This window comes from Homo sapiens, chromosome 5 (genome assembly GCF_000001405.40).
Source record: "Homo sapiens chromosome 5, GRCh38.p14 Primary Assembly".
Classification (NCBI taxonomy): Eukaryota; Metazoa; Chordata; class Mammalia; order Primates; family Hominidae; genus Homo; species Homo sapiens.
Genome location: NC_000005.10, coordinates 75,407,992 through 75,431,725, shown reverse-complemented (window position 1 = coordinate 75,431,725; position 23,734 = coordinate 75,407,992). Strand labels below are relative to the sequence as shown.

Below are 23,734 nucleotides of genomic sequence, written 5' to 3'. Positions count from 1 at the left end.
CATGGATGGAACTGGTGGCCATTATCCTTAGTAAACTAATGCAGGATCAGAAAAACAAATACTGCATGTTTTCATTTATAAGTGAGAGCGAAATAATGAGAACACATGGGCCAAATCATGGAGCTTATCTAATAATTTATGTCCAACATTAGCTCTAATTAGTTCATTTCCAACCCCATAACACAGAGAAGGGATCAGGTGGGTGATGCCAACAGTTCCTGCCATGACAGAGCTCACATAGCAGGGCCACAGAAGCATTGTTCATCCAAAGTGTTTCCTGAGCTCCCTCTGCCTGCTGGACCACCTCTTCAGTGTAGTAAGTCTGGAATGGGTGCTAATTCCCTTCTTCATGAAATGGATGCAGTTAGAGGCCATTATCCTAAGTGAATTAACACAGGAACAGAAAACCAAATACCACATGTTCTTACTTAAAAGTGGGAGGTAAACATTCAGTACATATGGACACAAAGAGGGAAACAATAGACACTGGGCCCTACTTGAGGGTGGAGGATGGGAGGAGGGCTAGGGACAAAAAAATACCTGTCAGGCACTAAGCTCACGTCCTAGGTGATGAAATTATTTTATACCAAACTCCAGCAGCATGCAATTTACCCATGTAATAAACCTCCACATGTATTGCCTGAACCTAAAATTAAAATTGAAAAACAGTAAGTCTTTTGTTTGTTTGAGATAGTCTGTCTGTGTCACCCAGACTGGAGTACAGTGGCACAATCCTAGCTCAGTGCTATCTCGAACTTCTGGATGCAAGGGATCCTCCTGCCTCGGCCTTCCAAGTAACTGAGACTACAGGAGCACACCACAATGCCCCACTAACTTTTAAAAACTTTTTTTGTAGAGATGGTGTCTCGCTTTATTGCTCAGGCTGGTCTTGAACTCCTGGGATTAAGCAGTTCTCCTGCCTTGGCCTCCAGAGTGCTGGGATTACAGGTGTGAGCCACTGCACCTAATCAAGAACTCTTTTTTTTTTTGTGAACTGATTGCTGTAATTAGAATTCCATTTTGCTGTGATTCTGTTATGTTGAAACAAGCTTACATTTTTTTCTTTATCAACTTTATTGGGGTACAATTTACATTTACATTCTTAAAAAGTACCCATTTTAATTGTACAGTTTCAGTTTTGACAGATGTAGTCTACACTTCCCACATTTTCTTCTACCTCTTTGTATTCAGTGCCCCCATTGTACTCTGGCCTGCTCTTGTTTGTCATAGATTAGTTTTGTCTTTTTTAAAAATCAGTTTTCTTGAGGCATAATTTGCATACCATGAAGTACATGCTTTTGATTACCTTTTCATTAATCATTTTCCTGGCTCCAGAATGTTTATATTCCTTCATCACTAAGACATTGCTTTGAGATGTGGATTCATGTAAGTCTCGGAGAAGAGCTTTGATTCCACCTTGTCTTAAAATTATGTGTAATTTGTTAGCCAATTAAGAGTTGAGAACATATTGAAGTACTTTTTATAGATAGAATGTTTTATAAGCAAGCATTATTAAAAAGTGTGACCATTTTACTTTGGCAACTGGTAGGTGTTAGAAGTTTGAAATTTAAGAGGCTACTTGTTTTCATATGGATAAATTCCTAGTGTCTGCCTGAAAATGTCCATTTCTTTTTTCATGAACTGTTACTTTGGTTACAGATTCCTTTCCTCCTCTCGTCATCCTCTTTCTTTTTTTTTTCCATTTTGACCAGATCCATCATCTGATTATTGATGTTGGGGGTGGGGACAAGTTTCCTCCTCCTTTGAGATTGTTACTGTTGTACCTTCAGAGAATTGTCCCTCTTTGTTGCTGTTCCTTGCCATTGTTACTACCACTTCTAATCTCTACTATTCTTTTTACCCTTGCTTTTTTTTTTTTTTTCATTTTTTCTTATATTTGGATGAACTTATCTAGTTTCTGATAGCTTTTCAGCACTTAACACTGCCAGGAACCAAACTTTATGGTGACCATGGGCTCTTAACTGTTTCAAGGTAATATAGAGGACGGCAGGCTATTTTTGATTTACTTGCTTGTTTAAGAGACAGGGTCTTCTTGCTCTGTCACCTAGGCTTCAGTATAGGGGTGCGTTTAGAGCTTACTGCAGCCATAAACTCCTCGCCTCAAGTGATTCTTCTGCCTCAGTCTCTCAAGTAGCTGGGACTAGAGGCACAAGCCACCACACTGGTCCAGGGCAGGAGGTTTAAAGAATTCCAGGATATTTTGGGCAGGCAGGGTGGCTCACGCCTATAAGCCCAGCACTTTGGGAAGCCGAGGCAGGTGGATCACCTGACGTTAGGAGTTTGAAGACTAGCCTGGCCAACATAATGAAACCCCGTCTCTACTAAAAATACAAAAATTATCTGGACATGGTGGCACACGCCTGTGATCCCAGCTACCAGGGAGGCTGAGGCAGGAGAATCATTTGAACCCAGGAGACAGAGGTGGCAGTGAGCCGAGATTGTGCCACTGCACTCCAGCCTGGGCAAGAGACAGTGAGACTCTGTCTCAAAATAATAATAATAATAATTATTATTATTATTATTATTATTCAGTTTCTATTTAGAGGTTTTCAAAATCCCAGATAACCTGAATTTTATGTACTGTAGGCTGGAGGTGGAAGTAGGGGTAGGGATGTTTTTTGACAAAAAGACCATTAATCTGAGAAGCGGAAAATCCAGAGATTACTATAAGATCCTAGATGGCTAAAACATTGAATTTCTGTCACTTAGTGTAAAGTAGGATTTAGAAACATTTATGGATAAAGATAATAAAGATGGGGGATTATTTGATAAGAAACAAAATGTAATTATCATACAAATGTAAAGCCAATCTACCTTGAAGAGATAATAGGACACAAGGGAAGATTTTTGGAATGTGCTTTGTTCTTTAAGTTTAGGTACCATCAGTTCTTTTGCAACTTTAAATGAATTTAAGGTTAATGAATTAACAGTTTGGTTTTAAAACCCAATCTAGGTTAATGACAGCTTGTTTCTTTCTTTGTGTTGATTATAATCTTTGCCTCTTGTAAATATTTTTTTTTTTTTTTTGAGACAGAGTCTCGCTCTTTCACCCATGTCAGACTGCAGTGGCGCAATCTCAGCTCACTGCAAGCTCCGCCTCCCAGGTTCATGCCATTCTCCTGCCTCAGCCTCCCGAGTAGCTGGGACTACAGGCGCCCGCCACTGCGCCCTGCTAATTTTGTGTATTTTTAGTAGAGACAGGGTTTCACCGTGTTAGCCAGGATGGTCTCAATCTTTTGACCTCATGATCCGCCCGCCTTGGCCTACCAAAGTGCTGGGATTACAGGCGTGAGCCACCGCACCCGGCCAACTATTTTTTAAAATTAATGTGTGTTCAGAGTCTCCTCTTTTCTTTGTAAATTTGCTTCCATTTTATTGCAAATTGCACGTTTTTTTTGATTGGGTGCCACCATTCCAGGAGCTCCGAGATCCTAGAATATTAAAGTTAAGGTAAATGAAGTGATACTAACTGGAAAATGTTTTAAACTAGTGCTAATATCATTTACATAAAAATAAACATAAAACTTTTATTTATTAATTAAACCATAGAAGCTTAGTATTCTTATAGCTAAAAAGAATATTTTCCAATTAGAATAATATCATGGGTAAACCAATAGCTATATAGAAATGTAATAGATTTTCAGGAATTAGACCACAGAGGCTATAAAATGTCAATGGATATATTTTCTATAACACATTGTATATAATTTTGTTTCCTAATATTAATCTTGAAATGTTTGTAACTTTAAATAATTTTTCATTGTAACCATAGGTTTGATACTAAAAATAATTAGATATTATTTTACCACTTGTTTATTGAGTAGAATTAAAATTAAATACAATGTAGCTTTTTGTTCCTTTGTTTTCACTGTTGATCTCTAAGTATTAAAAAAAAATTGATGTTTACTAAACCTACAGGTTTGTTTTCACCATTCAAATGAAGAAAAGCTGTTCAATATAAATACTTACCTAGAACCATAATAGTACAGAGGAGCAGGATTGAAATCAGTCAAACCATGATAGATATGATATATTGTCAAAGGATATAATACAGATGCCTTGGTTTTTCCACACAAGCATATTAATTCACTGTACTTTTTTGAGACTTGAGTTTTACTGTGTCACCCAGGCTGGAGTGAGTGCAGTGGCGTAATCTCGGCTCACTGCAACCTCTGCTTCCCAGGTTCAGGCGATTCTCCTGCCTCAGCCTTCTGAGTAGCCGGGATTACAGGTGCCCGCCACCATGCCCGGCTAATTTTTGTATTTTTAGTAGAGACAGGGTTTCACCATATTGGCCAGGCTGGTCTCAGACTCCTTACCTCAAGTGATCCACCCACCTTGGCCTCCCAAAGTTCTGGGATTACAGGCATGCCTGAGCCACCGCGCCTGGCCTAATTCACCGTACTTTTAAAAAGTAACAGTAGAAAATAATCAGAGATCCAAAATACCTGGTTTTAGTTACTTGGAAGTTCAAATGTTTTAATTTCTTTGTCTATATTGTTATATTGCATTTGTATTAGAGAAGGTAAGATATAAAATTTATGCTCTGAAGAGTATCATCCCCATCAGTTATCTTCCATGGGATGCTGACTTAACAGACTAGCAAAATTGGAAACTTCGTGCCATGAACTGTCGAGGTGGTTACAAAAATTTAAAAGATACAAGCTGCTTCCAGAAAGATCCAAGTCCAGTAGTAATAACAAAACACAAACTATTGTGAATGGTAAATGCTGTAATTGTGATGTGTTAAGAATGGGTGAGAATACATAAAATTACCATTTTGACCACTGTTAAGTGTACAGTTCTGTGGTATTAAGTACATTCACACTATTGTTCAACCGTCACCATCATCCATCTTCAGAGCTTTTTTATCTTCCCCAGCTGAAACTCTGTGTCCATTAAATAATAACTACCCATTCTTCTTTTCCCTGCCCCTGGTAACAACTATTCTGCTTTCTGTCTATGAATTTGACTACTTTAGTTTTCCTATTATTAAACAGTCTTTGTGACCACTAGCCCAGCACATAGTAGGTATTCAATAAATTTCTAAATTAAATGGCATTTAGGAATTGAAAGGCATTGCTTATGTCAGTGGATTGACTATATATCTTATGTGCACCCAGACTGCCAATTGTTATAATAACCTTGTTAATTCATAGGAAACCTTTTGTTTTCTCAAGTATTTTTTATTTAAATTCTTTTCACATAGTTTACTTTTTTTTTTAGACTGAATCTGGATATGGATCTGAATCCAGCTTGCGTCGACATGGCTCAATGGTGTCCCTGGTGTCTGGAGCAAGTGGCTACTCTGCAACATCCACCTCTTCATTCAAGGTGTGTAGTTAATGGATGCCTTAAGTTAAACAACATAAATTGAGTTTAGTATTGGATGTTGTGAACAGAACATATGTGATAATTTTTTGAACAAACTTTTTTATAGTATAATTTATTTGAAGTTATTAGAGAAGTACTTTTTAAGGTATAAAATAATAACTCATATAGATGAACACATGTCACTGATTTTATTTCATTCATTCATTAATGAGGTAAAATATAAAAAAACTGGTTCAAAGGAAAATCTGAAGAATACTGAAATGATTTGTGAATATGGGAAAAACTGGTCAGTATCCACAGATTAATAATCAGTGCTTCTGCACCAGACAAAATTCATTTGCATCTCTATGAACAAGAATTATTTATACTACTCAGTTTTTTACTAAAAGAGTTGTAAAATAGCTCAAATGCAGTGAAAGGCAAAAGTGTCTATATGATCAAATAGTACTCTCCCAAGGGTACCATAAATGACAGCTCACCATTACTTTGAAAGGACACAAGTAATATTTTTTCCCATTTCAAAGTCTTTCACAGTTGTTCCACACAATTTTGTTTAATTTGAAAATACCAAATGTTATATTTGCAAACTGTCAGGTATTACTGCTTTCTTGTTTTCTATAAAAAATAGGGCTTATTTATAAGTGATATCACGAGGTTATCATCATTCATAAGTGGCTTATCGCTATCAAGCCAATAGATTCATCAGTTTCAAGCCTATTCCTAGAAGTATTATATTGAACTAGACAGCTCTCCTTATCCCATGCCCTCAGTTATAAGGTGCAGACCTTAAAAGTTGATGAAATACCATAGGACCACATGAAATCCAGTTTTGTTTTACTTGAATTACATCCCCCTATTTTATGTTTTGCAGAAAGGCCACAGTTTACGTGAGAAGTTGGCTGAAATGGAAACATTTAGAGACATCTTATGTAGACAAGTTGACACGCTACAGAAGTACTTTGATGCCTGTGCTGATGCTGTCTCTAAGGATGAACTTCAAAGGGATAAAGGTTAATTAGGCTATTACCACTATTTTTACTTGGAGAATGAATGGATTAAAAGCCTCTTGATCTCAAAGGGTAATGTCTTTAAGTGATAAAGGTGTTTATAGTCATTTTTTGCTGCAAACCCCCAGTGAAACAGATTTCAGTGTCCTTGTAACTTGGGTACTTCAGTTACACATACTAATTCATTTTGATCATCCATACCAGATGCCATTGAAGACCTTTATTTTATTTATTTACTTTTTTGTTGAGACATGGTTTCATTCTATCGCCCAGGCTGGAGTGCAGTGGCGCGATCATAGCTCACTGCAGCCTCAAACTTCTGGCCTCAAGCAATTCTCCCATCTCAGCCACCCAGGTTGCTAGGACTACAGGTGTGCATCACCACACCCAGCTAATTTATTTTTCTATTTTTTATAGAGACGGGGGTCTCACTATGTTGGTCAGGTTGGTCTTGAACTCCTGGCCTCAAGCAATCTTCCCACTTCGGCCTACCAAAGTGTTGAGATTATAGGTGTGAGCCACCACACCAGGCAAAGACTTTCAAATGATACTCTTTATTCCATTAAAAAATGATATCTATTATCTTGGTATTATGGATCATTTCACATTATTATTATGTCTGATAAATTTAGCCCATGATGAGTCTTAGAGGAGATAAGTATATGTTAAATCCTTCAGATCTGAAATCAACCAGTTGATCTCTTTCTCTTTCTCCCTCTCATTTCTCTTTTTCTCCCCTTCTCTTTTCTTTTTGCCTTTTCCTCTCTCTCTCTTTTTCTTTCTTTTTTTTTTTGAGACAGAGTCTCGCTCTGTCACCAGGCTGGAGTGCAGTCGCGTGATCTCGGCTCGCTGCAACCTCCGGCTCCCTGGTTCAAGTGATTGTCCTGCCTCAGCCTCCCAAGTAGCTGGGATTACAGGCACGTGCCACCATGCCCAGCTAATTTTTGTATTTTTAGTAGAGACGGGGTTTTGGCCAGGATGGTCTTAATCTCCTGACCTCATGATCTGCCCGCCTCGGCCTTCCAAAGTGCTGGGATTACAGGCCTGAGCCACCGCGCTCGGCCCCCTCTCTCTCTCAGTCTCTCCCTTTCTCTACCCTTTTTCTCATAGAAGAAGAATCAGTAATAGAAATGGAAGTAATAATTGTATGTACATTTAAAAATAATTTTATTGAGTTCTTATTTAAAAGAAACAAGATATCTTCAATTAACTTTTAGTGTTAGGTTTATAGTTTAACTTTCCTTTGTTAGTCCCAAAAATACTGCTGATGTCAACATTGTTCTTCAGCTTTTTCACTTAATTTATTGTGATGGCAAAAATTAACTACTCTACCATTATTACCAAACAGGACTAAGTTCATCCCCAATATAACTAGGTGGCTTGACATGGTTTCATTTCTCTTTTTTATTAAATGTGTTTGATCTGGATCCAAGTTCTTTTTGTCTATTCTATATTCCCTTTTTCTGCCTTCTTTGGATGAAATTTTTTTCATATATATATAATTCCACTTTATCTCCTTTGTTAGCTTCTTAGGTATAACTCGTGGTTTTGTTATTTTAGTGGCTACTTTAAGGTTTATAGTTTGCATATTTAACTTACCACAGTCTGCCTTCAAGTAATATACCACTTTATGTGTAGTATCAGAACCTTCCAATAATGTAGTAGAATGTTCATAGCTCCCTGTGACCTTAAACTCCTGGGCTCAAGTGATCCTCCTGCCTCAACTTCCGAACTGGCTAGGACTACAGGCATACACCGTCATATCTGGTTAATTTTTAAATTTTTTGTAGAGATGAGGTCTCGCTATGTGGCCCAGGCTGGTCTTTAAACTCCTGGCCTCAAGGGATTCTCCCACCTCAACTGCCCAAAGTACTAGAATTACAGGCTTGAGCCATTGTGCCTGGCCTTGAAGTTCTATTTGTTAATATAAAAACTTTTATTAAAGGTTTTGGTTCGTTAATGTGTGATTTTTTTTTTTTCCCCTCTAAAAATAGAAAACACCTGAACTTCTGTTTCTCCTTCATTAAAAAAGTATACCTTTTAATCAATTTAAATGTTACAGATTAGCTTTAAACAAAAACAGGATACATATAGAATATGATGCCTTGTTTATCTTAATGGTCCATACCAATAGCGTATAGTATTAGAAGGACAAAAGTGATGGTGGAAAAAGTGGAAGTTGGAATGCAGTGATAACCAGGTTGTGTAGATGATTTGAAAAATAATAATAGACATTACACGGAATCTTTTCTGCTACATGTTTAAATAAATAGCAAATTGAAGACTGATGTATTAGTTTGCTAGGGCTGCCATATCAAAGTACCACAGACTGGGTGGCTTAAACAACAGATTTATTTTCTCACAGTTCTGAGATAAAGGTATTGGCAGGGTTGGTTTCTTCTGAAGGCCATGAAGGAAAAACCTGTTCCACGCCTCTCTCCTTGGCTTATAGGTAGCCTCCCTATATCTTCACATCATCATCTTTCCCTTTGTATGTGTCTGTGTCCAAATTTCTTCTGCATATTGTACAGTCATAGTGGATTAGTGCCCATCCTAATGACCCCATGTTAACTTAATTACTGCTTTACAAACCTTGTCTCCAAATAACAGCCATATTCTAAGGTACTGGAGATTAAGGACTTCAACATATGAATTTCTGAGACACAATTCAGCCCATAACAACTGATTTCCCTACAAATGTTATTTGTGAGATACTGACTGATTGATTGATCCTTTGATTTTTATTTGATACTGGGTCTCCCTCTGTCACCCAGGCTGGAGTGCAGTGGCACAATCTTGGCTCACTGCAACCTCCGCCCCCCAGGCCCAAGCAGTCCTCCCACCTCAGCCTTCCCAAGTAGTTGGGACTACAGATGTGCACCACCATGCCCAGCTAATTGTTGTATTTTTTGTAGAGACAGGGTTTTGCCATGTTGCCCAGGCTTGTCTCAAACTCCTGAGCTCAAGCAGTCTGCTTGCCTCTGCCTCCCAAAGTGCTGGGATTACAGGCATAAGCCACCACGCCCAGCCTGAAAAAGCTATTTTGTGTCTGTTTTGGAGGTGGAAGGTTATGGTAAAGGGGTAGTTTGAGAGGAAGATTTAATGTGCTGGTGGCTGAGAAATATTTGGGTGGCAAAAATAAATAGATGTCTGGCTGATACTGTAATCATCTCGGGGAGCTTTAAAAAAGAAATAATTGTATCATACCCTTCACCATAGTCTCACTAAACCAGAATATTCAGGGGTTGAGGGGAGAGAGAGAGATTAACGTTTTGTTCTTTAAAAGTTCCTTGATAGGTAGATAATCAAAAGTTCCTTGATATGTGGATACCCTCTCTAGTAGAAGTATGAGCTAGCATTATAAACAAGCCTTCTGAAGGCAGAAGGAAAGCACAGCAGAAAGGGGAAAACAAATATTGTACAGAAGGCTTTTGAGTTTTCCAAGAAAACAACTCCTTTAAATTGTGAGAATAGGTCAAATCTAGAGCAAATGAAATATCTCCTGCTTCTGTAGAAAAGAATGCATGAAGGTAGAGTTGAAGAGTGAGTAACAAACTGTTTTAACTTTTCATTGATATGATGCAAAAAAGTAGGGAAATTTGAAAAGGCCCCGGGAAGTAAGGATCTCAAAAGGTACTTGAAGGTCATCTTTATGGGATTATGCCAGGGGACTAATTTAGGAATAGTCGTATTATAACTTCAACTGATGGTCAGCATGATTTTTTATCTGAGTATGGTTTAAAAATAATGTATCTAAAGACATTGCACAGCATATTTATTGAGCATATGAGATCTTACTCATCTTTGTATTTTCACTGGTAATCAAGATATGCTCATATTGAAGTCTGTAGGAATGATGGAAGTGGAAAAGAAAAAGAATTGAATATTGAGATCACAGCCAGGTAGAAATGAATACAGGGTATTAATAGATAATAGTTTATGATTTGTAAGAGTTGTTATAGATGATTGACAACATTTTCAAGTGGTTATAAAAAAATGAAATAGTCCAGTAATTAGAAAATGGCAGTACAGAAGATTTTCCATGGTGATTCCTACCATTTAATCAAAGAAGGGAAATAAGGTATCGAATTGGGCTCTGCATCCATAAAAAAGACAGCTAAGATAGATGAGATGTTCCTTATAGAGCCACGGTGCTCCTGATGTAAAAAGATACATGCAGTAAGTAAGACATTAGTTTAAAATGTAGATTCCTTCTTTATAAAGGGAGTTCCTGAAAAGATAAAGGAGCCATGTAGGCTGGGTGCAGTGGCTTACACCTGTAATCCCAGCATTTTGAGAGGCAGAGGTGGGCAGATTGCTTGAGCTCAGGAGTTTGAAACCGGCCTGGGCAACATGGCAAAACCTCATCTCTACAAAAATTAGCTGGGCTGGTGGTGTGCACCTGTGTTCCCAGCTGCTCAAGGGGCTGAGTAGGATTGCTTGAGCCTGGGAGGTGGAGGTTGCAGTGAGCTGAGATTGTGCCACTGCACTCCAGGCTGGGCAACAGAGCCAGACCCTGTCTCACAAACAAGAAGAAGAAGAAGCCACAAAAAGCTTGATAAAAGCAGCAAATAATGTTGGGAACTAAGATGCAGGAATTTGCATTATGAGTGGAATGCGTAGTACAGAGAATTAAAGCATGTGGCGTAGTAGAAAAAGGGATAGCACATAGAAGAAAGAGGTATGTTAAAGTAGAACAAGAGAGATTCTGTTTTTGTCTGGAATTAGAGAAAAGGGATGCCTGGATACAGATACAGCCTGGGATGAATGAAAATTGATATCATGGTCAGGAGATTGAGACCGGATTCCTGGCTAACATGGTCAAACCCCGTCTCTACTAAAAATACAAAAAATTAGCCAGGCATGGTGGCAGGCGCCTGTAGTCCCAGCTACTCGGGAGGCTGAGGCAGGAGAATGGTGTGAACCCGGGAGGTGGAGCTTGCAGTGAGCCGAGATCGCGCCACTGCACTCCAGCCTGGGCGACAGAGCAAGACTCCGCCTCAAAAAAAAAAAAAACAGTCGATATCATATCTGCAAGTCATTATATTTTCCTTGCACATCAGAAATAGTATATATAAGAACTCTCGCCTGGGTGTGGTCACTCACACCTGTAATCCCAGCACATTGGGAGGCCGAGGTGGGCGGATCATGAGGCCAGGAGTTTCGAAACCAGCCTGGCCAACATAGTGAAACCCCTTCTCTACTAAAAATACAAAAATATTAGCTGGCTGTGGTGGCACGCACCTGTAGTCCCAGCTACTTGGGAGGCTGAGGTGGAAGAATTGCTTGAACCTAGGAGGCAGAGGTTGCAGTGAGCCGAGACCATGCCATTGCACTCCAGCCTGGGTGACAGAGTGAGACTCCATCTACAAAAAAAAAAAAAAGAACAACTCTTAGAGGCAAGCTAAGGTGTCTTCTGCATAGAAGGCACCCTTATAGTCCTGTTCAGCCCTTCTGGTCCTCTTACAGAGTGGAAATGGCCCCACGGAAGGGAGCAAGAGATAGGAAGACTACAGGGTGAAATAATTCATAACTCAGTAACCTTCCCTTACACAAATGAGAGTGAATATGGTTTAAAAATAATGTATCTAAAGACATTCCACATATTTGGGTGGCAAAAATAAATAGATGGCTGATACTGTAATCATCTCGGGGAGCTTTAAAAAGAAATAATTGTATCATACCCTTCTCCATAGTCTCACTAAATGAGAATATTCAGGGGTTGAGGGGAGAGAGAGAGATTAAGATTTTGTTCTTTAAAAGTTCCTTGATAGGTAGATATTTATTGAGCATACCTTGATTACCAGTGAAAATACAAAGATGAGTAAGACTTCATACTCAGAATCAGAATCCAGAGTAAAATGACTCAGTTGAACATAAGAATAGACATTAATTTCTATTTCTTTTCATCCTAATTTCCTTAAATATATTTTATTTAGTGGTAGAAGATGATGAAGATGACTTTCCTACAACGCGTTCTGATGGTGACTTCTTGCATAGTACCAACGGCAATAAAGAAAAGTGTAAGTAATACATTTTTCCCCTCAGCTGGATAAAATATACTTTCAGAAGTTATGTAACAACTCACAAGAAATAATTACCTGATTAATTTTTTAAAAAGCAGTAGAACTGGTGGAATCCAAGTGAAAATATCTTCCAAGGCATGCAGGTAAAAATCACATTCTGACATTATGTAATAATGGTAACTTTTACATAAGGATGTCCAGCTGTCCCAGCATCATTTGCTGAAAAGACAATTTTTTTCCCTTGTCTTGGCACCTTCGTGAAAATCTGATAGACTGTAAATGCGAGGGTTTATTTCTGGATTCTCAGTTCTGTTGAGTTGATGTACGTGCGTATTCTTATTAAGAAAATATAAGCTTTAAAAAAGCTTTATTGAGATACAATTGACATACCATTTAAAGTGTATAATTTGATAAATTTGGATATTTTCGTGAAACTATCAACACAATCAAGATAGTTAACATTTATATCACCTTCAAAAGTTTTCTCCATCCCCTTTGTCATTCCTCTCTCCCCCATTCCTGAATAGCCACTGATCTATTTTCTGACACTATAGATTAGTTTGCATTTTCTATAATCTAATATAAATGGAGTCATACAGTATGTATTCTTTTTTTGCCTGGCTTTTTTCTTAGTTTGAGATTCATCATTATTGTTGCATATATCAGTAGTTCAGTTCTTCTCATAGCTCAGTAGTATTTTATTGTATAGATATACCATAGTTTGTGTATCTAGTCATTCATTGGTGGACATTTGGGTCGGTTACAGTTTTGACTATTACAAATAAAACTGCTATGAGCATTCATATACAATTCTATTCATGGAAATTTATTGTATTTATTTTGGGTAAATACCTAGGAGTAGAATGTTCTAATCATATGGCGGGTGTGGGTGTGTTTAATTTTTAAAGAAACTGCCAAACTGTTTTTTACCAGCCACATATGAGAGTCCCAGTTCCTCCATATCCCCACCAACACTTAATATGGTCAGTCTTCAAATTTCAGTCATTCTAATAGGTGTGTAGGGATATGTCATTGTGGTTTTAATTTGCATTTCCATATTAACTAGTGATATTAAGCACCTTTTCATGTTTTTATTTGCCATTTATATCTGCTCTTTGGTGAAGTGTGTGTTCACATTTTTTACTCATGTTGGGCTTGGTGATTATTATTATTATTATTTTGAGACAGAGTTTCCCTCTTGTTACCCAGGCTGGAGTGCAGTGTGGTGATCTCAGCTCACCGCAACCTCCACCTCCCGGTTTCAAGTGATTGTCCTGCTTCAGCCTCCTGAGTAGCTGGGATTACAGGCATGCGCCACCACACCCAGCTAATTTTGTATTTTTAGTGGAGACGGGGTTTCTCCATGTTTGTCAGGCTGGTCTCGAACTCCCAGCTTCAGGTGATCCGCCCGCCTTGGCCTCCCAAAGTGCTGGGATTACAGGCGTGAGCCACCGCGCCCAGCCAGTGTTTATTATTAATGAGCTTTGAGGTTACTTCATATATTCTGGATAGAAGTCTTTATTAAATATATGCCACACAAGATTTTCTCCCAGTTTGTGGCTTATCTCTTTATCCTCTTAACAGTGTTTTCAAGAGCAGAAATTTTACATTTTGATTTAAGTTTCACAATTTGTTCTTTGATGGATTATACCTTTACTGTCATATCTCTAATCGTTTTTAAAGTCAAAATTGACATTATTTCATTTATAATTATTCTACTAGAATGATTTCTTAACTATAGAATATTATGATTTCTTGTTTGCATCTTTGAGTTTTAAGATTTTTTGTTTAATTCAAAAGCTAACCATGAATTAAAATGATAAAATTGAAACGTAAAAGGCATTGAGTTTAAGTGCATTGGTCCTGGATTTAAATTTGTATGTTTATTTTTAAATTGTATATTATTTTATTAGATTCTTTAGTTTATCTTCAGATTTTTTTTAATTCTAGGCTTTTCAAAATAATAAGGTAGTTCTTGCCATAATTAGGTCCTACTCTAAGCTGTCAGAATGTTATTGTTAAAGTATTGCTCCTCCTACCATTTGATTAATTGGGTGCAGCACAGCAAATAAATTTCAGGAAACAGAATCTAGAAAAAAAGGACTTGAAAGTACATATGCTGCCACGAAGCTTCTTTGCTTATAGAGCTTGGATAGGAGATTTTTAAATGTTGGCCTACAGGAGGAAAATTAAAATCCCAAAACCTGCTCTGACTTGCTAATTTTCTAAACATTTTCTAATCTTAAATTGTGATGAATTATTTCCTCATTAGAGATATTTTCAGTGAATAATTTTCATTTTCAGTATTTCCACATGTGACACCAAAAGGAATTAATGGTATAGACTTTAAAGGGGAAGCGATAACTTTTAAAGCAACTACTGCTGGAATCCTTGCAACACTTTCTCATTGTATTGAACTAATGGTTAAACGTGAGGACAGCTGGCAGAAGAGACTGGATAAGGTAAGACTAGGTTTTTTTCCTTTTAAAAATAATCACATTTAAGTTTTACGTATTGTTTGAATATTTAAAACAAGCTAACTTCTTAGGGAAGAATCTTGGGTTGATAGAAATAGCAGATGATACTACTACTCTGAAGCTTTATGGGCATCCTAAACTCATTTGCCTAACAAGATTCACCAATTACTTGTTTAGTTACTATACAGTATGCTTTCTTGAAAGATTTAATATAAAAGTTTTTGTGATGATGTTAGTAATGCTTTGGAATAGAAGTGTTGAGCCATTTAACATTACACACCTTTAGGTGCATGATGTATGAAACTGCATTTAAGGCATATGAACTAACTTATATGCCAATTTACAAAGTTAAACATTTACTTATTATAGTAATACTCATGTATTTTTTCCATGGTCAGTGATACCATTTAACATACATTATGTTGTTTGAGCATTTGCCCTATGTTCACATTTTCCCACCTTTGTTTAAACTGCAGCACTGATAATATTATAGTATGACTCTTTAGTTTCTAGTGTGAAGCATGGCTCAGTGGATTTGTTAAGTAGGAAAACTTCTATTTATAATTCAGCTTTAGAATAATAGTAAAATGTTAGAGTTGAAACATACCTTAAAGTTCTAGTCCAATGCCATCATTTTATAGAAGAAGGAATTGAGGCCCAGAGGCTTGTCAAAAGGTGAAAAGTAATAGAGTTAGAGGCATTTTTCTCTATTCTTTTATATATCAGCTCTGGATGCCAGATTAGACATCAGCCAGAATCATATTCATTCTGAGTTATATTGCTTGCAGAGTTTGAAGGCCTTTGAATTTGAGCGGGACACTAAGGAAAGCAATGATAGCACTATGTGTTTAGGAAGGTTCCCATGTTTTAGAAGAAAAGAGAGCTGTTCAGAATGCACAAGTGCAGGTGAGAGTAAGCCATTTTGATTAGGAATATGTCTTCTTTTAAAATAGGTAATGAAAACATCCTTTTAAGGTATAGAAAATTTATTATCATTCTGGAGCCAAACTATTATTATCTTCAAAGATTTCAACTCTATACTCAGTGTGGATCAAATTGAATTATTAGAAGAGTCCCTGTTCACAAAAAAAAAACAATGTATTGAAAAACAGGACAACTCCCTAAATACATTAGACTAATGGTTCAAGATTATCATTCAGCTAGTCCAGACTAGCTTATTTCCAACTTTTTGGCAACTTTCTCTCTCTTTAGTCTCTTTTTCCTTCACTAAGGGATCATATTCTTTGGTCATATACTCTAACCACATTGCCTAAAATAATTTTTTTTAAACCTTTGCACATTATATACCACTTCCTGATTATTTTAGCATTCAAGTTTATTTGCCATGTTGAAAAGGGGAGATAGATTTTTGATTGCTTTCAGCATTGTTAATCTTACCAGTTCTCTTTCTTTATTGGGTAGCAATGAGCAGAGCAAACCAAAGATCTGCGGGAAAAAAACCACTTTTGTTGCTTCTCCATGCAACACTCTCCACCAAAGAACAGCCAGAAAAGATGGCAGGCAGTATTGGTTAAAATCTGGACACTACTGTGTTTTATAGTCTTCTTACAGATCTATCTGATGTCAAATTTTATTAACCTTTTCCACTGTAATTTTTTCTCAAGGTTGAAATAACTGGATCCCAGTTACATTTTACATGGAATGTAAGTGTGTGTGTATTTGCACATGTGTGTACACACAGTATGTGTGTGTTCATATATATATACATAATATATGCAGGGTATGTGTGTATTTATTGGTAAGCAACTCTATTCAAGAACTTTCTAATCTTTTGTATGTAGAGTGTGTGTGTGTGTGTGTGTGTATATATACACACTAAAGACTAGAAAGTTCTTAAATAGAGAAAGTTGTTTATCAACAAATACGTCTTTCAGGTAATTCTTAGAATTGAGAAAGAAAGTACAATGATAACAATATGGTTTCACTGAAATTGTTTCATTCAGGTGTGTGCCTGCTGTGTGCTTGACTCTAAGCTAGGAATGGGAAAACAGTGATGAGCAGGAAATAGTCTCTCAAGGGGCTTAAAATCTAATGAGAGCAATTAAATAGGTGATAATAACAGCTATTTAATAATAGAATTGTCTATATTATACTTTTATGTAGATTTATAATGTCAGTTCCAGGATTCTTTCAGCTAATTGAAAATACTATTTTGTAGTGATGATTTTTATTGGTTACCTATAATAATAATGATCCTTTCCACTGTAGAAGAAGTGTACTTAATTGTTAGCCAGTCATGTCCAGGAAAACCAAAAATTCTAAAATTAGGCAATTATGGTTAACAGTGTTAATAAGAGATAACCTGTTCATTGAAGATACATTTTCTTACATTATTAGATTCACAGGTGTGTACTTTTACATACATTTTCACTTTCCTGTAAGTCTTTAATATTATTGCTGTGCTGTGCATTTTTGTTTTATTCATTTAAAATTAATACATAACATACATACAATGAAGTGTACCAATCTTAAGTATACTACCTGATTTTTTTTAACGTTTGTATACACCCCTTAACCATAGACAGATCAAGATATATAACTTTTCTAGCACCCTAGAAGGTTCCTTCATGCTCCTTCCTATTCCATATCATACCACCACCCCAAGAGGTGATCATATGGTTTTAACCTATGTCATTATAGATTAGTTTTGCCTGTTCTGGAACAACATACAAATGGAATCATACAGTATACTTTTGAGTCAGGCCTTCTCTTTCCTTCAACATTTGACTGTGAGATTCATTCATGTTGTTATATTTAATAGTAGTTTATTCTTTTTTATTGCTATACACTATTTTATTGTATAACTTTTTATTGTATGACTTCAATTTGCTTATCTATTTTCCTGTTGGTGGACATTTAGATTTTTTTCATTTTTTGGCTATCATGAATGAAACTGCTATGAGAGTTCTTGGGGCATATCTTTAGGTATATTTCTCATACCTTGGAGTAGACTTCTTGATTCATAGGGGTATATGCTTAACTTTAGTGGATACTGATGATTTTCCAAAGTGATTATTTCTACCAGCAATGGGTGAGGATTCCAATTATTTTTAATTCTTGACAGCATTTTGGTATTGTTAGGGATGTGTGGGTGTGTGGGTGTTGTTGATGTTGTTCACTCTTGACTGTACTTGGTATTGTGTGTGTGTGCGTCTGTGTGTGTGTGTGTGTATAGGTGTTGGTGTTGTTTGATTTTGGGGACAGTCTTTCTTTTTTTGAGAGACAGGGTCTCACTGTGTTGTCCAGGCTGAAGTGCAATGACTATTCACAGACACAGCCATTAGTATACTACAGCCTTGAACTCCAGGGCTCGGGTGATCCTCCTGCCTCAGCCTCCTGAATGACCAGGACTACAGGCACATGCCACTGCACCTGGCTTAGTCATTCTGGTGGATCTGTAGTCCCATTTTCTCTTTAGTACACAAAAATCAATTAATGAAATCTTTGGGTCTAATGAACCCATTGATTCATTGATTTCCACTGTCTTTAACGCTGATGTGGTATTTAGAAGTAGTTTGCTTTGTGTGAGTTCAGTTTAGACTTTAGCCATTAAGTTCAGTGATACACTGCATAACGACATTTCCGTCAGTGATGGACCACATATACAACTGTGGTCCCATAACATGATAATGGAGCTGAATAATTCCTTTTGCCTAGTGACATCTTGATGATCCTGACCCTGTGTAGGCCTAGGCTAATGTGTGTGTTGTCTCTTAGTTTATAACAAAAAAGTTTAAAAAGTTAAAAAAAATAAATTTTTTAAAAAATAGAAAAATGTTTGTAGAATACAGTATAAAGAAAATATTTTTGTGCTGCTGTACAATGTTTATGTTTTAAGATATCTTATTACAAAAGACTCAAAAAGTTTAAAAAATTAAAAAGTTTATAAAGTAAAAGTTACAGTAAGCTAAGGTTGTTATTGAAGGAAGAACATTTTTAAATAAATGTAGTGTAGCCTAAGTATGCAGTGTTAAAAGTTTACAGTGGTGTGCAGTAATGTCCTACGCCTTCACATTCATTGACTACTCACTCACTCACTCACCCTGAGGAACTTCAAATCCTGCAAGCTCCATTCATAAGTGCCCTGTGCAAGTATACTGTTTTTTATCTTTTATATCATATTTTTCCTGTCCCTTTTCTATGTTTAGATTCACAAATACTTAACCATCATGTTAAAATTGCCTTCAGTATTCAGTGCAGTCATATGTTGTAAATGTTTATAGCCTAGATGTGTAGTAGGCTATACCATCTAGGTTTATATAAGTACACTCTATGATGTTTATACAAGAATTAAGTCGTCAGTGACACATTTCTCAGACTGTATCCCCATGGTGAACTAACATGTGACAGTAAATACATGTGGCTTTCACTAGCCTTCTTTAGATCACAAGCATAATCTGTTCTCTTATGATTTTTGATGATCACGCTCTTCAGAGTAGTGTTTTTTTGGGAATAAGGGGAAATAGGAAGAGCTGTTTACATTTCCTGTAGCCAGAGTGACCATGAATCCTGGTTTGACCAAGGCAGTTCTTAATTCAGCAAGATTATTACTAACATTCCCTTTCGCTTTCAAAAGTGTGGTGCTTACATTACCCAATAGGGGGACCAAGCAAATCAGTCTTTTAGAAAATGGAATTTGGACAAGGTAAAAAAAAGAAAGAAAAGAAAAAAGCCATGTATGACTATTTGAAATGAGGAAATAAAAGCATTAGATTATTTACAAACATACTGGACTCCAGTATCAGTTTTGACCCAGTGAACCCCATTGTTGTGGAAATAAGTTTTATATGGGACCAACCTTTGTTATTTTAAGTGTTGACCCTGGGTCTTTTAACCTTTTAGAGCTATAGGCCCTATCATTAAAAGGAGAGTGTTAAAATACATAACTAAAGTCTTTTTCAACGCTAAAATACAGTCTTAAGCAGCAGTGAGAAAGTATAAGAAGGTTTTCTTTCTTAGAATATCTTTTTAGCATTCATTGATCCCACCTACTGAGTTCTTTTCTGGTATTACTTGCTGTTTTTCTTCATACCAAAATAAATGTATCTCTTAACTGGGGTTGGTGGGAAGGGGAAGTATAAGAATGTATAGTAGGTATTTTTCAGGTGCTAATTTACCTGGGTTTTTTTCTTTTCTTTTCTTTTTAAGTATACATGCAGTTACTTAACCATTTAAACACATAACCTACTTTTAAGGTGATTTTAGTGGTGATTTAAATCGTAGGTTGTGGCCGGGTGCAGTGGCTCACACCTGTAATCCCAGCACTTTGGGAGGCTGAGGAGGGTGGATCACGAGGTGAGGAGTTCGAGAAAAGCCTGACAAACATAGTGAAACCCCATCTCTACTAAAAATACCAAAATTAGCTGGGTGTGATGGCACAAGCCTGTAATCCCAGCTACTTGGGAGGCTGAGGCAGGAGAATTGCTTGAACCCAGGAGGCGGAGGTTGCAGTGAGCCGAGACCATGCCATTGCACTCCAGCCTGGGTGACAGAGCAAGACTCCGTCTCAAAAAATACATACATACATACATACATAAATAGTAGGTTGTAAGTAATTTATAGCCTAGAGAAAAGTGTTTTCTTGGGCAGAATAATACTCTTATTTTTCACAGGAGTGGAATTTTTTTGTGTCAAATTGTAAAATTTCAGTGAAATGTAGAGGAATTCCACCTAAAAGACTTCATTGTAATTAAAATGCCTGCCTCAAATTACAGATTTTTCACTTCTTTTTAATAGGAAACTGAGAAGAAAAGAAGAACAGAGGAAGCATATAAAAATGCAATGACAGAACTTAAGAAAAAATCCCACTTTGGAGGACCAGATTATGAAGTATGAATTTATATTTTGATCTTAGAGAAACACATAGATCATGTCTATCACAAAAGTGATTTTTTAATAATACTCTTGTAACCTTTAAATATTCTAAATATATAATTTTTTCCTCAGTGTTTATGTTAATTCAGTGTATATTTCATGATATATAAATGCCAGGCATGCTCAAATATATATTTCTTATTGCCTACAAAGTTTAGGCTTCAAAAGGCTTAGTATTAGGCCTGTTCACTTGATAGGACAAATTTTTATCTCCCCTGTAAAGATGATCATTTTTAATGTTATCTACTTTTTTTTTTTTTTTAACATAAAAGCAAACTATAAAGGAAAAATCTGAGTACTTTGCAGACAAAAAGATTTTAGTCTGTACTATACTGTGAGATCTTTTTTTTTTTTTTGAGACCGAGTCTCGCTGTGTCACCCAGGCTGGAGTGCAGTGGCGCGATCTCGGCTCACTGCAAGCTCCGCCTCCCGGGTTCACGCCATTCTCCTGCCTCAGCTGCCCTAGTAGCTGGGACTACAGGCACCCGCCACCACGCCTGGCTAATTTTTTTGTATTTTTAGTAGAGACGGGGTTTCACCATGTTAGCCAGGATGGTCTCGATCTCCTGACCTCGTGATCCGCCCGCCTCAGCCTCCCAAAGTGCTGGCATTACAGGCGTGAGCCACCCCGCCCGGCCTACTGTGAGATCTTATCCATAGCTGAACATAAAACTGTTCTAATTGTCTTTGTTTGAAAATGTCTGAAACCAGCTTTTTTCTCCTTGTGTTTATTTGTTAAGCAGGTAATAAAATCTCCTTCACATGTATATACACACATACATTAAAATCTTATAAGCTTTCTATATTAAGAGAAAAAAATGTGTAAGAAATATATTTGGTAATTGCCATTAAACAATGTTGAGGCTAGCGCACTGGCTCACATCTGTAATCCCAGCACTTTGAGAGGCCAAGGCAGGAGGATTGCTTGAGGCCAGGAGTTCAAGACCAACCTGGACAGCATAGCAAGACTTCATCTCTATAAAATAAAATAACAAAAATTATCTGGGTATAGTGGCACATGCCTGTAGTCCCAGCTACTGAGGAGCCCAAGACTGCAGTGAGCTACGATTGCACCACTCCACTCCAGGCTGGGTGACAGAGCGAGACTTTGTCTCTTTAAAAAAAAAAAAAAAACGTGTTGGCCAGCACGGTGGTTCACACCTGTAATCTCAGCACTTTGGGAGGCTGAGGCGGGGGGATCACAAGGTCAAGAGCTCGAGACCAGCCTGGCCAATATGGTGAAACCCCGTCTCTACTAAAAAAATGCAAAAATTAGCCGGGCGTGGTTGTGAGTGCCTGTTGTCCCAGCTACTCGGGAGGCTGAGGCAGGAGAATCACTTGAACCCGGGAGGCAGAGGTTGCAGTGAGCTGAGATCGTGCCACTGCGCTCCAGCCTGGGCAACAGAGCGAGACTCCGTCTCAAAAAAAAAAGTGTTGATATTTCTGAAATGAGCAGTTTAAAAATGGGGTATCAAGGAGTACCACTGAGGTGGAACAGAAGAATAAAATAGTTGTAGTTATATTTATGAAAACAGAAGAATTTTTTCTTGCTACTTTTGCTCTAGAAAGGAAAACTAAACAGCTGCTCTGCTGTTGCTGAATTTTTTTGCATTGGAATCAATTTCCAACTGTGAGAGTGCATTCTGATGAGACTTAAATTGTAATATTTTTAAATTATTCTCAATTTATCCCTTCTAAAATGTATTAAAATTACATAATTAGCTATCCTCTGAGGTTTTAATATGAGGTATTATAATGATGATTTTTGTTTTGAAACTAAACAAATTATTTTGCTATTTTAGAATTATTATTTTGGAAGAAATACCAACTTTTTAAAGTACCTTATTTTTTAATATTATAAATAAAATGTATATTCATTATAGGAAGATTGTACAAAAATTCAAATAAGCCAATAAAGCCCATGTTTTAAATTTAACAATATATGGTACAGTTTATCATCTACCAGCAGTATGTAAGTATAATTTGTGTACATATTTATCTCTGCTTCCATCAACACAGGTTTTGTTTTTTTTTTCCTAGGGGTAGAGGACAGGGGTGGAGGGAAGAGGGGCCTTGTGCTAGGTACATGCATTTACTAGTTTCAAAGCCAAAAAATTGCTTTATGTATGTAATTGAGCATTTTAAAAATTATGTTTATCAGATATTCATGTTTCTTTTTTTTTTATTTTATTTTACATTGGAAGTACACATGCATGTTTGTTACATGAGTATATTGTGTACTGGCAGAGATTGGGCTTCTAGTGTGCCCCTTACCCAAATAGTGAACATTATACCAAATAGCTAATTTTTTAACTCTCACCCCTCCCTCCCAACCTTCCTCCTTTTAGAGTCCCTACATTTCCATCTTTATGTCTGTGTGTACCTATTATTTAGCTCCCACTCATAAATGAGAACATGCAGTATTTGACTTTCTGTTTGTGAGTTAATTTGTTCTGGGACCAAACTGAGGTTCGGGCTGCTATTTCTCACGGCCCAATAACGAGATGCAGATGAACTGGGGAGGAAGAGAGTTATTTCTGTAACTGGTTACAGGGAGAAGGTCTGAACATCATCACCAGACCAACTCCAAATTACAAAGTTTTCCAGAGCTTATATACCTTCTAAGCTATATGTCTACCTGTAAGTGTGCATTCACCTAAAGACATAAGTTACTAACTTCTTTTAATCTATAACTAAGGTCTGAGTCCTGAAGACCTTCCTTTGGAGCCTCAGTAAAGTGCTAGAGTGATTACCCTTATCGTGTCTCCTACTATATCACATAGGTTTGAGGAGTTCCTTCAGACCCCTAATACACTTGTTTGTGGAGGACTGGGGAGTTTCTTCAGACCCCCAGTAAAACTTGTTTAATCCTAAATGGCTCCTATTAAGAATTCCTTCATTATTGAAGAAACAAGGAGTTGTTCAATGGGAACAGAGTTTCAGTTTTGTAAGATGAAAAAGTTCTAGAGATCTT

The 23,734-nt window shown here is 37.0% G+C and overlaps 1 protein-coding gene across 9 annotated transcripts in view, besides 2 other annotated features; it reads left to right on the top strand.

Annotated features, from left to right (window-relative positions):
* Positions 1 to 23,734, top strand: part of CERT1 (ceramide transporter 1) — a 143,496-nt gene that overhangs the window by 80,256 nt on the left and 39,506 nt on the right. For all 9 annotated transcript variants that reach the window (XR_007058566.1, NM_001379003.1, NM_031361.3 and 6 more), the window contains 5 exons: positions 5,248 to 5,355; positions 6,227 to 6,365; positions 12,302 to 12,385; positions 14,693 to 14,850; positions 20,623 to 20,715. Coding sequence is in view for 8 of the 9 variants with exons in the window: in NM_001379003.1 (NP_001365932.1) it covers positions 5,248 to 5,355; positions 6,227 to 6,365; positions 12,302 to 12,385; positions 14,693 to 14,850; positions 20,623 to 20,715 (582 nt within the window). In the remaining variant the exon portion in view is untranslated. The remainder of the gene's footprint in view (positions 1 to 5,247; positions 5,356 to 6,226; positions 6,366 to 12,301; positions 12,386 to 14,692; positions 14,851 to 20,622; positions 20,716 to 23,734) is intronic.
* Positions 2,656 to 3,156: an enhancer, noted in NCBI's record as "H3K4me1 hESC enhancer chr5:74724395-74724895 (GRCh37/hg19 assembly coordinates)". NCBI's record gives its function as "activates a minimal SCP1, AML or CMV promoter by ChIP-STARR-seq in naive H9 embryonic stem cells {active_cell/tissue: H9 hESC(naive)}" and the evidence as "EXISTENCE:reporter gene assay evidence [ECO:0000049][PMID:30033119]".
* Positions 3,157 to 3,657: an enhancer, noted in NCBI's record as "H3K4me1 hESC enhancer chr5:74723894-74724394 (GRCh37/hg19 assembly coordinates)". NCBI's record gives its function as "activates a minimal SCP1, AML or CMV promoter by ChIP-STARR-seq in primed H9 embryonic stem cells {active_cell/tissue: H9 hESC(primed)}" and the evidence as "EXISTENCE:reporter gene assay evidence [ECO:0000049][PMID:30033119]".